Below are 19,256 nucleotides of genomic sequence, written 5' to 3' on the forward strand. Positions count from 1 at the left end.
TATGCAAAGATCTACATACACAAGTTTTTATTGCAATATTGTTTACAATTGCACTAAATTGAAAGCAACCTAAACCCATTAATGATTAACTAATTAAATAAAATGTTATGCAACATTTACGAGATGACAGTGATGGACTTTTTGAAATTAAAATGGTTGAAACAAAAATACCAGATAAGGAAGACAGAAAAATGAAAAAAAAAATGTAAACATGTAAACAAGGATCATAGTCATAGTGAGAAAGACATGCCCCTGCACCCCCACCCTAGTTAGAGGGCTGATACTACAAATTCCAGAGCCAGGTAGAGAGATATGGGTCTATTTTTTTTTATCAAGGTCCTAACAGTATTAGAAATATATCTGGAAAAAAGATAATGTGAGCAGTGGAGGGAATGGTGGACTTGAAGTATCTGGTTGAAACTGGGGCTACCACTGCAAGTTCTGGTAGGGGTGGAGTAAGAGTGGAGCTTGAACAGGATCAGTATGGGGGTAGCCGAGGGACTCCAAAGCTGGAGGAAGGCTAGGGCTGAAACTGAGAATAAGGAAACGTGGTGCTGAAAAGATAGGAGCAGCGGGATGGTAGGGAGGGTCTAAGTAGAAGTTCTAGTTCAGTGGGAGCATTGGGAAGTGAAGAGAAAGGGGGCTAAGAAAGTTACAGAATGAGAGATGAGTAGAGGTTGAGAAGGGTGCTGTCCCCTCACATTATAAACCAATAGACCAAGAGAGAAGAAAAAACTATGAGAAGTGACCTTAAAAAAACTTCTCTCAATTCTACATTCTAGTTTAAATGAGTTTCCAAAATGCAAAATGTTCTCAACAGCAAGAGCTGGTATAGAGCTCCTGTTCTGTCTGTAAGTGATTGCATTTCTAAAGTAGTCCACACCTATATCTACCATCCCACATGTTCTTAAAATGTGGTCTTGAGATTTCTTCATCAAGAGTTGGAAACTATTCTCTCCTCTTAAATCTGGGTGGGCTTGTGGTGCGAATGAAAGTGATGTTGCATGACTTCTGAGGCTAGCCCATAAAGGGGATTAGAGGATCCACCTAGCTCATTCTCTTAGGATATGTACCTTGGGGGCACTGAGACTACAGGTAAGAAATATGAGTGTCCTGAAGCTTCCATGACAGAGTGATCATGTGGTGAGACTACATAATACTACACAGCAATAGAGAAGCCCCAAGTGTTACAGCCCCCAAAATCGTGACTCTTCTTAGCTTAGGCACCAGATATGAGAGTGAACAAGCTTTCAGTTCCTTCCACCTTCTAAAGTTTGAACTTTCCCAGCTGACTCCCAGAGCAGTCTCCAAGTCCAGCCCATAATAATGGTTTGGGGGTGAATAAATGTTGTTTTAAGCCACTAAGTTTTATGTTGGTTTGTTAAGTAACTGCAACACTATTGCACTTGTTTTTTGTTTGGGAAAACAGCTATAGAAAAGCTCAAGGATCTTTTGCGTGTGGGAGTGATAATCAGGATGATTGGATAGCCATTGTGACATCTCCTACTTACCATCAAGACCATGGAATAAAATATATTACAAGGTCAAAACATTGTATCTTAAGTGCTTTTCAAAGGCTATTGAAATCGGTGATTCAAACTGGCCCTATGAGGCAAAAATTAAACAGAACAGAAAGTAATCCTGTCAGGCACTGTGGGAGTAAAGAAATTACTTGACCTGTTCCTGGATGCAATGGCATGGTTTTAAAGATGTGTATTATTTTTAAAATCAATAAATCATTTAAAATAAGGCAAAGGTGGAGATGATTACACGAATTTCAGTATACTTGTAGCATATTGTGATCCCATGCCTTTTCTTTCTGTGGGATAATATTACCTAAAATAAATTCATTTGCTGTCACAAGGGATCATTTACAAAGCAACTCAAAACACTTTCAGGCAAAACATTAAAGTATAAAAAGCCATGTTATCTGACATTTCATTAATTAGAAATTTCTGAAAACCAAAACTTCTTATATTCCCCCAATTCAATTTTTCAAGCTAGGAATTTTTGCCAATTTTTAGGGTTTATGTGAATAATCAGATGAGTTTCTTAGAGTTAGAAGGAGACCTAATAAGAAATTGTTATGTATTATTCCTCTCACAGTTAGAGGGAAAATAAATTAATTTTGACCTCACAGGCCTTTTGCTACAAATTTTCACTTTTGCATACACTTAGCATAATTCAGAATGGAAATAACATGGGTTAATATTTAATAGACTATCAATTAAAATCCTGACATAGACAGAAGAATTATGAATTTTTTAGCTTGGACATAAACGATGGACCATGAGAACTCTCACTCTCTAAAAGACTGTTAAGTGAAAAAGGCAGTATATATGACCTGGTATGACTGAGTATACCACGAGGACAAAGAAAGGGATGCTGTAAGAAAGCTTATTTCAGATTAATAATAACTTCTCTAATGATTACATCTATTCAACCCAGAAATGTCCTCCCCATTGCTAGCTGTATTAAAGAAAAAGCTAATTAATGGCATGTCAAGACCAAGCAGAAATTAAACAAAAGCTGTGTCCCCCATTAGAATGTAAGGACCATCAGGTCAGGGATCATGAGCAACCATTCTGTCTTGTCAAAAATCTTAACTCCACTCCCTGGCACAATGTCAGGCCCATATTAGAGCCCTCGGTATACACTTTTGTATCAAAAAATAATCATATAATGCAGAGTTGTACTAAGTGACCCATTCTAAAGGGCAAATACTCTAATTCTATCTTTCCCTTCATGAATTCCTGAGGACAAGACTATTTGAGCAAATAATCCAACTCACTCAACCACATGCAAACAGCTGATGTGATACACAAGCTGACACAGCAGAAGTTATTCTTTGGATTCCAACTTGAGACATTTTTTTTTTTTTTTGCGTACATTTTGAAGCACCAATCTAGCTGTCCAAAATGCTTTTGTTCCAATAGAATAATGGTCAATTTTTAGTTCAACAGCTGTGTGCAATGCATATGTAAAAAGAATATTTTTTAAAATTTCTCCCCATTTCCATTTTTCTGTGCTACTCAGTTTTTCAGTGTTGATGCTATTAAAACCATAGTTGAAAGAAGTGAAAATGAAAAAGAAAGCAGCAAAGTGAATACTCACTAATCTTTCAGTGGATATTGATTGGATGTGAGAGCTTTTCTCTTAAGTGTTACTAAAAGAGTTGTCTCAATTCTAGATTGTGGATCAGTAAACCTTTAATGTAAAGACCCAGATAGTAAATATTTAGGAATTGTAGACCATATGGTTTATGCTGAAACTCCTCATTTTAGCACAGAAGCAGCCATTGACAATAATTTTAAAATTGAGCATGGCTTTATTTCAATAATATTTTATTTACAACAACAAGTGGCAGACCAGATTTGGCTTCCGGGCTGTAGTTTGATGACCCCTGTCATTGACAATGTGTTTTGCTTGTATGGTATTATATCTTTACATAGGGATATGACATGTATTGTCTCTTTTGAGCCTCAATTGGCAGTTTGACATAACAGGTGTTATGAACCCAATTTCAGAAATGAAAGTGCTAAGTTTCAGAAAGGTGAAGTTTCTTAAACAGGCTCACAAGATGAAGTTGTTTGTAGAATTAGCACTAGAACTCTTGTCCCTGATCATCCTTTCCACCAGTTAGTAAGCCACAATACCTTATTTTTTTCATATCTACTTATGGACATGTATTTGGTCACATATATAATGTGATTTAAAGGACTTAAATATACTTCTCATGCTGGTATGACCTGGTGCTTAGATTTTCACCAATAGAGGTTTATTTTTCTGAGTAAGGATACAGTCTACTTTGACAGAGAAAATGTCCTTGAGATAGTTTATTATTCAGGTATTGTTAGTGGAAGGAGTGTATTAGTCCATTTTCATGCTGCTGATAAAGACATACCCAAAACTGGGCAATTTACAAAAGAAAGAGGACTTACAGTTCCACATGGCTGGGGAGGGCTCACAATCATGGAGGAAGGCAAGGAGGATTAAGTCACATCTTACGTGGATGGTAGCAGGCAAAGAGAGAGCTTGTACAGAGAAACTCCCATTTTTAAAACCATCAAATCTCATGAGACCCATTCACTATCACAAGAATAGCACAGGAAAGACACATCCCCATGATTCAATCATCTCCCACTGGGTCCCTCCCACAACACATGGGAATTATGGGAGATACAAGATGAGATTTGGGTGGGGACACAGAGCCAAGCACATCAAAGCGATAGAAACTTAAACTGGATTAAGCAAAAATAAAAAAGATGAGGTTGGTTGACATAACTGTATAGTTTATTTATTGGTTGACGTAACTGTGAAGTTAGAGATACACTGGTATCAAACATGGCTGGATCCAGGGGCTCAAAAATATACCATCAGAGTGTAGTCTTTCTTTCCACATCTTTCTGTTCTGCTTTCCGACAGGTTGGTGCCATGTTTAGGAAGACTCTCTCTATGTAGTGTTCCCCAGTATTTTTGACTTTAGATAAGTACAGCTCTAGGATAATAGAAAAGGTAGTTTCCCTTCCTCAGCAGTACCAACCAGAGTCTGAGGTTCATCTCCCATTAGCCCAAATTAGGTCACATGCCAGCTAATGTGAGAAATCAATCAACCTAATCAATCCAAGAGAAAGCCGTGTGCTGATTGACTTTTTCATGACTCACTGGTTCCTGCAGAAATGGATTAAGCCCCATGTCAACCATGTGGAATAAGGTGTGAGTGGTTTGGCTCCCCAAATAAATATTTGATTTTCTCTTGCCAGAAGAAGCAGGAATGTATTCTGGTAGCAAAATAGATAGATGTTTACTATGGAGGGGCAAAACATAAAGTCTATATTAATGACTATTGACTTAGTATAAAATCTCACAGATATTAGTCACTTAGTTATTTTGCAGACTTTGATACAGGTTAATTTTGAGGGGATACTTGGCAAAACCATCTAGCACTTATGCACAGAAAATAATGAGAATGTTTAGATTGACATATATTGGTGGTGTACCTAAAACTTTATGCAACTTTGGTTTCCAAGTTGAGCTTCCTATGGAATGAACTATGAATTGGCTATCCAATATTATCTGCAACAAACTTCTCTCTCACCTTTCTGCACTACAGAATATGGAATGCTAAAATTCTTGATTACTTGCTCTTACTTACACACACTGTTAGCCCTGTTACACATGAATAGACAATGAGATTAGGAAAAAGTCCTTTGACAGGGCTTTTTTTTTTCTGGATACAAAGATAAATCTCACTGGAAATAGACATTTACTTCCTTTTTTCTGCGTACAGGGTGGAAATGAGGCTTGGTTGTACAGCCATTTTGTAACCAAGAGACAACATACGTGAAGACAAAAAGTTATAAAACTGCTATAGTAGCCCTGGATTGCCTACCTTCTAACTTCTTGTAGAATGAGATAATTAAACTTCTATTTTTTCAAGCCATTGAAATAGCGCTTTCTGTTTCCTGCAACTGAATATACTCCTATGTGATAGAATTTCCAAATAAATCTAAGGTCATTTAGGGATGCTAGGAAACTGGGGCCTTCGACACCCAAGGTATATCCCTACATGCTAGGTGCTAACAAATCACTCATAATCTTGGAAATATTGGCTTACAGTTTTTGAAAGAGATGACTAACAAATTCTGTCTTCATCTTCAATTTTAGGAGAGCCCTCTGGGAACTCTCACAGCCATATGAACCAAGACCTAGAAGGAGATAAACCAATTCTCGGTTTATATTTACATTGGGACATAGTATTTACTCAGCCATTTTCCTTGGCAAGTGATGCTGTAAAATTGCAAAATCCTTTCTAAAAGCGATCTATTGGCTTTTCTGTTTTGGTCCAGGATTTTACCTAAATGATACTTGGGAAGTGTTGAGAGGCATAAAAGATAAACATTTTAATCTTCATGAAGTTTCTTAGCCCCCCCCAAAAAATGGATATAAAAGTTTCAAGACAACATAGGCAAGGATTTGCATACAGAAAAATTTCCATATTTTTGATAGGTATAGAGGACAAGGGAAAAATATCTTTCTAAATTGAAAGCAAACAAGACAAGGTATAACTATGTAAGAAGTTTTTACTGTAATCATAACATACCCTTCATCAGCAGGCAAGAAAAAGATCAAAATGTGCTGCTTCTTCCTGGGCAGACTATTTCACCTCTTTTTGGGCAGTCTGAATCCTTCCTCTTTTGGTCCAATCCAACACTTCTCCATATGCTATTATATATTAGAGATTTTGGTTAAAATGTGGTCCAAAATATAACTAATTATTTAAAAGAAAAGACTTACAAATTTGTTTGTTCATCTTAACTCATTATTTCACACTTCACACACTGCAATGCATTTTCTGTTATGGGGTTTTAGCTTGTGTTTTTTTGTTTCCTTTATTAAAAATTGTATTTTACATACATGACTCAGTTCCCTTTCTGTATCTATAGGGAAACAGTTTGAACTCTCTGCAGGACCTCAGATACAGTGATTTTCCCTCAATTTACTCCTCTGTTAATAAAATAAATTTGAATTGTCATTAGGTGGATTTCAAATTTTCTTTTAGTCAAGAGAACTTTATTCAAAAAATATTTCCAGGAAGACTAATATTCAATAGAAAAAACACATAGGTTGTCTTACTGAACGTGTGTCACCTGGAGAGCCTTTCCTACCTATATGATGGTCCACAGACTTTTAAGATTCCGTAGAACACAAAACACCACTGGCTTATGATTTGTAGGTTTCTTCCCAGGTCCAGCGTTTTTGATTATATGGTCCTATTACATTGCTCTGCCCTTCTCATTCTTCTTAATCTTGACAAGATTCATCGTCCTTACCAACGTAATTATTCATCTCTCAGTTGTGTTTATCTCACTATTTGGAAAACATTTTCAGAGCAGAGACAATATCTCTTATTTTTTAATCTCCCACATTCATTCAACAATCATTTTCTGACATCCCCTCCCTACTCTTACCCAAGCACTATAGTGGGGGTGAATAATAAGCTAGGAATATAAGCTAGATGACAAAATCTGGGACAGTGCCTGCAAGCCCCTCGTTTTGTGATGGTCTCATCTAATGCACTCATCAAATTATTTCAAAGATCTAAGGCATCCATCAAGTTACTTCACAAGATTTTATTTTCACCTACAAACCTCCATGTGTTTGTATTGTATTCAAATATTCATTTTTCTTCAGTGGACTTCTGGAAATTTGAGATGCATTCACCACAGAAAAATAACACAGGAACAGAAAACCAAACTCCGCATGATCTCACTCATAAGTGGGAGTTGAACAATAAGAACACATGGACAAAGGGAAGGGAACATCACCCACCGGTGCCTGTCATGGGGTGGGGCTAGGGGAGGGATAGCATTAGGAGAAATACCTAATGTAGATGCTGGGTTGATGGGTGCAGCAAACCACCATGGCTCGTGTATACTTATGTAACAAATCTGCATGTTCGGCACATGTATCCCAGAACTTAAAGTATTAAAAAAAAAGGCTGAGTATACACAGGCAGTGTTCCGTGAATGAGTTTCAGATGCAAGACTCTACTTGATCCTCATGGTAGTGCTGAAGAGACAGGTCCAGTAGCTATCACTATTGCATTGACCTGATAGGGAGAGGGAGTTCTAGAGAGATGTATAGTGTGTGGCTCCTACATGATGGTGGAATCAAGCCTCGAAGCTGGTTTCCTGGTACTGAGACACCTAGATGAGCTCTTTCTATTAAACTACACTGACATCTAGGGGGAAAATAAAAGTGTATATCACCTCGTATTCCTCCAGTCTCAATGTGTAGAAGGTCAGATTGTCAAAACCCAAATGAGAGAATATATAAAGATACATGAGTTTATTAATTTTCACACAAATTTTAGAGAATTAGTACATTGGCATCAGCAGGCTGTATTTATGGTAGTTAAGGATACAGGCTCAAAAGCCAGACTGCCTGGGCTCCAGTCAGCTCTGCCATTGACCAGCTGCATGACCTTGGCAGGTGGATTATCTGTCTGCCTTAGTTTCTTCATTATAATTTGAGGATGATAATAGTACATAGTTCAGGGTGGTTGTGAGAATCATGACTTGATACATCTAAGGTGTTCAGAAGAGTGTTTAGCCCATAGCACATGCTAAACAAATGTTTGTTTGTTTGTTTTTTATCTCTTGTGATGGCTAACATTAAGTGTCAACTTGATTGGATTGAAGGATGCAAAGTGTTGTTCCTGGGTGTATCTCTGAGGGTGTTGCCAAAGAGATTAACATTTGAATCAGTAAACTAAGAGAGGCAGACCCAACCTCAATGTGGGTGGGCACCATCTAATCAACTGTCAGAGTGGCTAGAATAAAGCATGAAGAAGGTGGGAGAAGCCGACTTGCTGAGTCTTCCAGTCACCATCTTTCTGCTGTGCTGGATGCTTCATGCCCTTGAACATCAGACTCCAAGTTCTTCAGCTTTTGGACTCTTGGACTTACACCAGTGGTTTGCCAGGGGCTCTCAGGCCTTCAACCACAGACTGAAGGCTGCACTGTCAGCTTCCCTACTTTTGAGGTTTTGGGACTCAGACTGGTTTCCTTGCTCCTCAGCTTGCAGATGGCCTATTGTAGGACTTCACCTTGTGTCATGTGAGTCAATTCTCCTAATAAACTCCCCTTCATATATACATGTCTCCTATTAGTTCTGTCCCTCTAGAGAACACTGACTAATACATCCCTCTACTCAAAAACTACAGTGCAAAACAAGAAAGCTGTACTGTCCACCTCCACTATTCACCTGTGCCCACAGGTAATTCAGTCAACTCTTTTATGCATGTCCTTCTAATACTCTTTCCTTACATTCTCATAGGTGTATATGTAAGTCTATGTGTATTTATTTACAAAAACATATCCTACATATTGAGTCTTGTGCTTTCGTTCCTATTTAGCAGTATGTTTAGAGATAGTTTAACATATAGTGTTTTGATTTTTTTCTCTTAAATGGTTGCCTTGTATTTCACAATATGAATGAAACATAATTCATTTAATCAAGTGCCTATTGATGAAACTTTAGATGATTTCTTTCTCGATTATATACAGTGTGATGAAGAACTTACTCTTAGCATTCACCATTTAAGATACAGTCTTTTATGGGTTGAATTCTGTCTCCTTTAAATTTGTATGTTGAAGCCCTAATCCTTATTAACTCAGAAAGTGACTATATTTGAAGATTTTAAATAGGTCATTAAGTTGAAATGAGGTTATTAGAATGGGCTCTAATACAACATTAATGGTGTCTTTATAAGAAGAGGAAATTAGACTGTACAGACGCCCATAAGGAAGACCATATGAAGACAGGGAGAAGGTAGCCAAATACAAGCCAAGGAAAGAGTCCTCAGAGGAAACCAACCTTATAGACACTTGGATCTTGAACTTCTAGCCTCTAATGAAATAAAACATATTTGTTTTACCACGAAAAGATAAATTTCTGCTGTTTAAGCCACCCAGTTTGTGGTACTTTGTTATGGTAGCCCTAGTAAATTTAATATAGACTTCAATAAATGAAATTTTGGGGGCAAAAGTCCACCAATTTGCTTTTCAGGTGTTTTCACCAATTTTCACTCCCACCAGCAATGTAAATGGCTGTTCATTTCACTATGTGTATATTCACCATCACTTTAACATATCACAAATGTTACTGCTGGTAATACTTTCAAACACTCAGACTTCGTTCTAGCACTCAGGATATAGTTTATTGTAAAATAATACTAAAGGGTCAATAAAAAGGTATTAGTATTTTTATTATAACTATCTTTTTGTTTTTTGTTTTTGAGACAGGGTCTCACTCTGTAGCCGAGGCTGGAGTGCAGTGGTGCGATCTCGTCTCACTGCAATCTCCACCTCCTGGATTAAAGCAATTCTGCCTCACCCTCCTGAGTAGCTGGGATTACAGGTGCTGGCCATTACCCCAGGCTAATTTGTGTATTTTTAGTACAGACAGGGTTTCACCATATTGGAGAGGCTGGTCTCGAACTCTTAACCTTAGGTGATCCTCCAGCCTTGGCCTCCCAAAGTGCTGGCATTACAGGTATGAGCCACCATGCCCAGCCTATTTTTACTATAACTATCTTATTATTCATTATTGTTATTATTTTAGTAGAGAATCTGTATTTAACAACACCTCCATTCTTCATCTTCTAAACAAACACTTATCAAGATTGTAAGTGCAAGGTGCTAGGAGGGATGTTGAATCAGATGTGCTCCTAATCCTTCATTTTATTCCCTTTCACCTGAATTCCCATAATAATCTTTTAATTAATTTCATCACCTCTGATCTCCCTCCATACCAATTCATCTGGCACATCACCATCAGATATTTTAATACTTTTGGTAGTATAACAATAAATTTCATATAGCCTAAAATCAAATGATCACACATTCAAATTAGTTGGTGCTAAGATAGTCACTTTGTCCTGAAACTGGGGACTAAATTTATTCTTTCATCAGTAACCCACAGGCTGTCCTATCTTTCATCACTTGTTTCTCAAGTCAAATTTTCTAACCAGTATGCCTAGGTCTTGATCCCTTAGCCCTAGGGTAGAAACTATCGCCTTGGGCCAATTAACTTTTTCCAATTACCTCACTATGTATATAAATATGTTCATATTTTATGTGTTACAACATGGAAGAGATTGGAGAGCACTGGCTTGAGTCATTCCCACTTGATATTTTATAAACGAGCTAAAAGTAAAATCTTACATTTGTTTTATATTCCTAGTATATTTTTCAGAAATTCAGTAGATAGTAAGAAGAAATGGTTTGAAAAGATCTGCTGATGATATGTGTGTGCTTCTTTTTAATTACCAGAATGAAAAGATTAAAAAAAATGTGCCCGTTTCTTGTAATGGTCTCAGATCTTTTTGTCAGACAGGCAACTCTAGGTGTTCTTATTCCTTATGATAGAACTCATGTTGCTTCAGGTCTTGCCATTCCATGTGTACAAATGAGGTGACACTACATTGATAAACTGATTTTCAGGCTCTTTCAAACCCATATGCCTGTGGGAACCTCCATAGTATTCATCTCTCCTCTTGAACTGACAGTGTAGATGCCATGTTCTCTTCTCCTTTCCTCTCTCTTGACCCATCACCTCCTTGTTCAGGTTTAGACGTATTCTGGTGATTCCTCATCTAAGGATGTCCACATGAAGGGTACCATCCCCTGCTGTTCCTCAAACCACCTGCCATAGAGGAGCTCATGCAGGTTGAATGGAAACAATCTCCCTTTAACCTAGAGATTGTTCCAGGTCCCCTCAGCAACACCATTTGAACTCAGAGTCTCACAAAGTTCAACTTTAAAACAATTCTTGATTTCCTCAATTCACCATCTTTGCTGAGAAGTTTACACCTGGTCTAAGAGGCCAGTATGCAGCAGCTCATACTGTATTATTTCCATATTTCTTGCTCCTTGGATCTATAGATAGATTTATACACAATACTTGTTTCACACAGAAAAGCAGAGTCTCCATATATAAGAACATCTTCAATACATATCCAAAGGTATTGGAGGCTAACTCATTCCCTAGCTAAACTCTTGCCTCCAGAAAAACACCCTGCTATATTTGCATTATTAGTTCTTGATTGGAGTTAAACACCTCTTTTGAAAGAAAATGTGTTTGAGAATCAAGGGCTCCACGGTCTCATCTCAAATTTTTCCCTGTCCACTATTGTATCTCTGGGCAAGTTGTATCATGTTTTTAGCATCAGTTTTTTCATCCATAAAGTTAGAAGGAATGATGAGATGACCACTAAGATTTCTTTCAAAGTTCATATTCTGGGATTCTTGCATGGACACCCCTTTAATCAGACAAGTATTAAATAAATATGCATGTGTGTGACAGAGAGAAAAATAGTGGCTGGGTACAAAAAAAAGTAGTAGTTAAAAGTGTTTATTTTGTCCTAGGCCAGCAATTTGCTAGAGATTTGACCTAGAGCCTATGATTTAACCTCTTTATCCTCTATTTTATATTCTCTAATATTGAGATGATAGAAGCTATTTAAAAGCGTTAGTGTCAGCATTAAACAAGATCATACATGGAAAGCAATCTGACCTCATCAGTGTTCAATAAATTAACTATTATTTCTATTATTACTTAACTGACACATATAAACTAGGAACAGATAGGTAGGATCTTCTAAACGGTGGCTTTGATAGTAAGTGCTGCAGAAGGTCAGAAGATGTAAAGATTGTGTTTGTCTTAATTTGAGTCATAGAATAGCTGTTTATGTTTGTGGGATAATCTGCCTAAAAATGTGTTGCAAATATTTATATCATCCTGGTGTATTCTGAAAGGAGCATCTAAAACTAAAGCTTAAAAGCAAGTTGTTCACTAAGAGACAAGACCATGAACAGGGAAAGGATAAACCAGTAAGAGAAAGTTATTGAGCAGGCCACCAGTGAAAGAGACTGGTTATGGGATCAGACCTTATGAACTGCTCCCAGAACCATTTGCCTGATAAATAAAAGGGAAAGCATTTATATCTACACATTGTTCCTGTACTCCCATCAATCAGAGGTGACGTCTTATGGTTATCAGCACTGTACTTCTGGGTTGCACATGTGTGTGTGGCAAGTAGGGGCCTAGGGATTCAGCGGCATCAGAGAAGCCCCAGCACAAGATGTGAGAGACACAGCACAAACTTAAGGAGCGGTGCTGTCAGCTGAAAGTGAATCAAAGCTGCATAGAACTGTTTGTGGTAGGACTGGTATCAGAGGTAAGTCAGAGAGGATGTAAGGTGTCCACCAGAGGTGTCCAATTCAACAAACAGAGTTCCTTCAGATGAGAGCAAGCCAGATTGATGAAGGCACTCTCAAAACCACATCATATGAGCAATGGAGAAGGGAATATCATAAGAACAATGACGGCCACTACATATTAAGCACTCACGATGTGCCATTCAGCTGTTTAAGTGCTTTGTTTGCATCGTCTCATCAAATCCTCCCAATAGCAAAGAGCCTGGGCTTTCAGGACCTAGAGTTATTAAGGAGATGCTCAAAGTAGATTATATCTATAAAGTGGGGTCAAACTTGGGATTATTTACATATTTGACTCTCTGAAGCTGTTAACCTCTCTGCTATACTGGAGCTTTTTAAAATGAAGAAGACCCAAAGGAGAATGATCACTCTCTTCCAATGTTTAAAGCACTGTCATTCACTATGAGTACATTTTAATTCATAATTTACAGGCTGCCTTTTATTAACCCAACTTTCCAACCATCCACAGTTTGAAGACGTATATTGACAGCTCTAAGCTAGCTTTGGAGTGCCAAATCTAGACTTCATATTTCAGACAGTGGTTGCTGTACAATGAATAACATTTCAAGCTAATGCGGTCTTTGGTGAAGCTTTTTACAAACATACTGTGTGCACACACATATACACATTTGTAAAGAAATCTGCCATTGGCCATTTGGAAAGCCACCTTGCCCTTTATTCTAGTTGATTGGGAATCAAGACTATTAAATTCATTCATTAGAGATGTAGAGGAGATGTTGAAATTATATCAACTTTAAAATTGCAGGAAAATTGAAATTTTATTAATTTTAGCTCTGAAGAATGAAATTATGCATATACCATTTGTGTGCATTATTTGATATTTAGGTACACATATTTTAAATAGTTATCAAAGTAGAAGTCTACTTAAAAGTATCAGATACACAAAATACTTTAAAGTGGATTATGATAAAAGGTACTAATAAAAGATGTTTATAAAATGGAAAATAAATTGGTAAAGACCCTATATATAAAGATATATTTCAAAAATCTTAATTAATATAGTTGTTGAGCTTCCTAGCAGCCAATGCAGAAAGGAGCACATAACATTCTTACAGAATAGAAAAAAGAAAAGTTAGTAATCCCTTCCTTTTAGCCTCTTCACTTCCTAAACTCTTTACTCCCTGTTGGCTCAACCAGTCCCTAGACTAGAAGTTACTTAATATTATTGCATAAGATTGAAAGGGATGCCTAAGTTTAAAGTGATGAGCATAAAAGGCCTACATAGCCAACTACATTCTCTCATAATCCAATTCTAATGCTTAAAATGTCCATAATTAAGAAAAACTAATGACGGTATGTTTGGGTGGATTTTTAACCGGGTAAATCACCATAATTAGAGTGTGGATTAGAGCACTGATGTCAAACAGGAAGGCATTTTCTAGTATCTGGCCGCACAGCCTTGTCCTCAATTGAGTCCCAGTAAATATTTTTACGTTTGAGTTGGATATGGGCATTGATTGTATTTGAATCAAATTTGCAGATGCTGCAAAGCTGGGATAAGCAATCAACATTTTGTATGATTATTTTAGAATCCTAAACATTCTCAATGTGTTGCAATAATGGAAATAATTCTAAAAGTTGAAATTTACTAGGAATAAATATAGAGTCCTGGGGAATTGGCTAAATAGTTACTCAGATGCATTTCAAACCTTGAAATACTATTGTTTGATTCTAAAGGGGAATGAACCTCCTCATATACAAAAGAGTTATGTTTCAGGAGGTGCTATCTATCCTACCCCAATTGTGTAGCACAGCAGCCCTTTAATATGCCAATTAATCCATATCTCTCTGTCTACACTGTTATTACCTGGTCTAGGTCACCATCAGCTCTAGCCTGGGACGTTGCAGCATAAAAGATCTTCTGACTCCAATATTGCAACTTTCTTAAGTTTATCCTCCATATTCTCCATGCATAAACCAGAATGAACTTTTAAAATACAAAAATGTGTGTATCACCCTTCTGCTTAAAACTCACTCAATGTTTTCGCAATATTACTCTCAAAAAAAAAAATTCCTGATAATAGCCCTCACAGTCTTGCAAGATCAGGCCTTGTCTTTACCTGCAGGCCCACCTAGTGGCAATCGTTCTCCTCAAACCACCCACATCCCCAGGTTCACTCCGCTCTAGCCACACTGGCCTTATTTGTTTTCCACAAATATACCAAGCTGGGTTCTAGCAAAAGGTCTTTGACTTTGCTGGTCTCTCTGAATGAAACACCCTTCTCTCATATCTTGCTATGATCAGCTTAGCCTTGTCATTTTTCTTTATTTTGTTAAAACTATACTGTTTTAATATTTCATTTATTTCATTATGTCCTTATTTTATTTCTCTCATTAGAATTTAACTTCTGGGCTGAGATGATGCAGCCATACTATGCAGCTATAAAAAGGAACAAGATCATATCTTTTGCAGGGATATGGATGGAGCTGGCAGCCATTATTCTCAGCAAACTACTACAGAAACAGAACACAAAATACTGCATATTCTCACTTATAAGTGGGAGGGAAATGATGAGAACACATGAACACGTGTGGGAAACAACACACACTGGGACCTGTCAGAGGTTGAAGTGGGTAGGAGGCAGAGCATCAAAAAGAATAGCTAATGGATGCTGGGCTTAATACCTAGGTGAAGGAATGATCTTCACAGAAAACCACCATAGCACATGTTTGCCTATGTAACAAATCTGCACATCTTGCACATGTATCCTACAACTTAAAATAAAAGTTGGAAAAAAAAAAAAAAGAATTTAACTTCTATGAGTTCTAGGAATTTGTATGTAATTCTCTCCTGAATCTCCAGGGTCTGGATAGAACAGTGTCTGGTCCAGAGTAGAGAGTCAATGTGTATTTGTAGGAAGGATGGAAGAAAGAAAAAAGAGAGAGAGGGAGGGAGGAAAGGAAAAATGAAATTGCCTGTATAGAATGTCTTTAGAACTGGCCCTATGCCTAGTTCCATAAGAATAATAATTCTATAATGTAAAACTTACAATTGTAAAGGTACACTCATTCTTCAAAAACAGAGAACAGAGAATTGAGCTATTTGTTATCTTTTATAGAACTGAACAAAAGTTGCCTTCAAATAAGGTATTTTTCAGGTGTAATTTGTCATTTAGAGCTAAAGTCCAATTAATCAAGTTCCTAGTAATGAGACTTGAATTTTCACAAGAGTGAAATTAAAGATCAGTAGAGACAATTACAAACACACACAAATGAAACTATAGTGGACTACTTCTTTGCCTCCCAGTAAATAAATAGATACATGCACACATACATACACATATTTTCTGCATACTACCCAGGGGATTTGGTATGTGGGGTGTCAGCAAATTTCAGGTAAGGGTGTTACCAATTTATCTTTGTTAAGTGGTGGCAAATTTAGTCTTGAAATAGGAAAGTTATTCAAAAGAAAGGCTAGGAATTAGTAGCAGCAAAAAAGTAAAAGTTTAAAGGAGATTTGACCTTCTCATAGAGAAAATATGGGAAGTTCTTGTTCTTTCGTTAAAAATGATATTTTAGTGGTTTGCTGCTTTGCAGGAGAATGTTCTGTACCTTGTCTGTATCTTCTCCTGTTCAAGTATAAAGAATTGTATGATACTGTCTATATTCTACATGGCTGGAAAGTTCATAATCAGCAAATAGTGCTTATTTTAACAAGCCAAGCTGAAGGGAGAGGAAAAGCTTTGTTCAGGATATTATAGCTTATAGTATGGTCCTTCAGAGATGTTCACCATTAATTATCCAAATCTTTCATCTGCCTGAATTCTTCATTTACCTAGTATTCCTTGTCCTTGGATGAGAAACTTCTGTTGTTACTCTCATTCCTACCCATGCCACACACATTTTGAGATGTGGGACCATGCCATGGGTGGGGAATTAAGCATATTTCTTGTTCTGCTCTGTGTCCTACACAGTCCAGGACTGTGTTTATTTTTTGGTTAATTCAACAAACATTTATTGAATATTTCTTGTTCTACTCTGTGTCCTACATAGTCCAGGACTGTGTTTATTTTTTGGTTAATTCAACAAATATTTATTGAGCTCCTACTAATTCCTGAGGATGGCACTGACCTAGACAGAAACAGTCACCATCTACATAAAGTTGACAGTTCATCAAGGAAGATAGATATTAATCTAATAATTACAAGTATGAGAAGCATTAGGAAGGAGAAAATACAGAGTAGTATGTTAAGACTTAGTCCTCTCTGAGGAAGTGATGTTTAAGCTGGAATCTGAAGGATCAAGAGGCATTATTAGGATGAAAAGAATGAGAAATGTAGGATGGGGCCAAAGCTAAGTTTACAGGCAAAGAAATAGGTGCTCTATAACCTAGAGGAAAAGAAGAGGAGCACTTTAAAGGAAATGAAAGACAGAGAGGAAGACAGAGGGAAAAGATTTGAGGCACAAAAGATCATGCCAGGTCCTCTAGTTCGGACAGTGGAAAGACTTTGGGGAGCTTTATGCATCAAGTGATTTGGTCAGATTTACTTTTTTTGTGAGAACTTCTCCAGCTGTTCTCCAGAAGTTCTCTAGAGCTTCCTAATGGGGACTCAACGTGGAAGAAGACAGGCCTAATGAGAGATCATTGTAATACTCCAGGTAGAAGACAAAGGCAGCTCCGTGGACTGCTGAAGTTAGATCTGGAGATGGGCAGGAAGATGAAAGATTTTTAAGGAAACACTGGAAATGGGTCAGTTTGGAGGGAATGATGAGTCTGCTTTGAGGAACTAGGTGATGGTTCACGTGAGATGTCAAGCCTGGAAGGCCACTTGGGCCTTTTCAGTCCTATAGTCAAGGACTCACTACCCAAAGAAATAAGTCCAGACTCTTCAAGCTATCTATGCTGTTTCTCAGCACTATTGATATATAGGGGCAAATAATTTTTTGTTGTGGGTTGTGCCTTGTGCATTATATAATGATGAGCAGAATCCCTGGTCTTTATCCACAAATGCCAGAAACAGCCCTTGCTCCAAGTTGTAACAACCATAAATATCTCCAGAAATTGCCATATTTCTGGGGGACAAAATTGCCCCTGGTTGAGAACCACTAACCTATGCTAACTCCATCTTACCCATCCACCCCCTTATCACTCTTCCCCCAGACCATCATATTCTTCTCATTATTTCCTATATGTTTCTAAACAGATTAGGGAGCTTTGTTTAATAACATTGGCTTTGGTATCATAGAGACCTATGTTCAAATGTGAGTTCCATAATTCATCAATTATATGGTCTCACACAAGTTACTTAACTACTTATGGTTCTTCACTTGTGAAATATGGATAATATCAGTTCCTCCTCATAAGGTCACACTGTCAAGTGATAAATACAAAGCCTAACCCACTTTAGGTGCTCAACTCATTTTAGTTACTATGAAAATATGCTTGTTAACATATGTAATGTCTTTGTCTGTATCATACCCACATTCAGAAATGACACCTACTTCCCTTGACCACTATCCACCCATACAATTCAAATTTAACTTTACCTTTCAAGACGCTCATTGACATTTGCTCCCCATGGAAGACTTCTACCATTTACTCTAATATATACTGATTAGTGCCATTTTCAAGCTCCATTAACAGTTAGAGCTCACATTACATAATTTAATGTAATTAAATTACATAGGCCAGGTGCAGTGGCTCATGCTTGTAATCCCAGCACTTTGGGAGAACGAGGAGGGTGGGTTACCTGAGATCAGGAATTCAAGACCAGACTAGCCAACATGGTGAAACCCCTCCTGTACTAAAAATACAAACAAACAAGAAATTAGCCGAGCGTGGTGGTGGGCACCTGTAGTCCCAGCTACTCGAGAGGCTGAGGCAGGAGAATCACTTGAGCCTAGGAGGTGGAGGTTGCAGTGAGCCAATATCGCACCACTGCACTCCAGCCTGGAGGACAGAATGAGACTCTGTCTAAAAAAAAAAAAAAAAGGAAAGAAAAGAAAAAAGAAAAAAATGCTTTGTTACATAGTAATAGCATCTTCCACTTATTTTGTCTGTGAACATTTTCTAACCCCCTAACAGCATATGCATTTCTCAGTGATATGGCGATGATATTCTATTGTTGTGGGCAACAATAGATGCTGAGTGGATGCCCATGGATTGAAGTCATCCACATGTGTGGGGAAAGTCAACTTATTACACCTAAGCAGCCACATGACCACCCAATGCTGGGGCAGCTGGATTAATATTACCTTATCCTTTGTAATTTTTTTTATGCAATGAATCCCAATTTGCATGAAATAGAAATGAATTTCCAGCAGAAGGAGTGAGAGAGTGAGCTCATCTAAGAAACCGACATTTTCTCCTGTGTTTGATGAGAGTGAGAGTTATAGGAATTCAAGGTACACAAACAGAGCTGCCACACACCTTCACAAGAGGCTCTGACTGTGAACTAGGACCTAACATGGCTTTGAACTCAGTTAAATTTAACTTTTAGATCCACTGTG

Source organism: Homo sapiens, chromosome 5, assembly GCF_000001405.40.
Source record: "Homo sapiens chromosome 5, GRCh38.p14 Primary Assembly".
In the NCBI taxonomy this organism is placed as follows: Eukaryota; Metazoa; Chordata; class Mammalia; order Primates; family Hominidae; genus Homo; species Homo sapiens.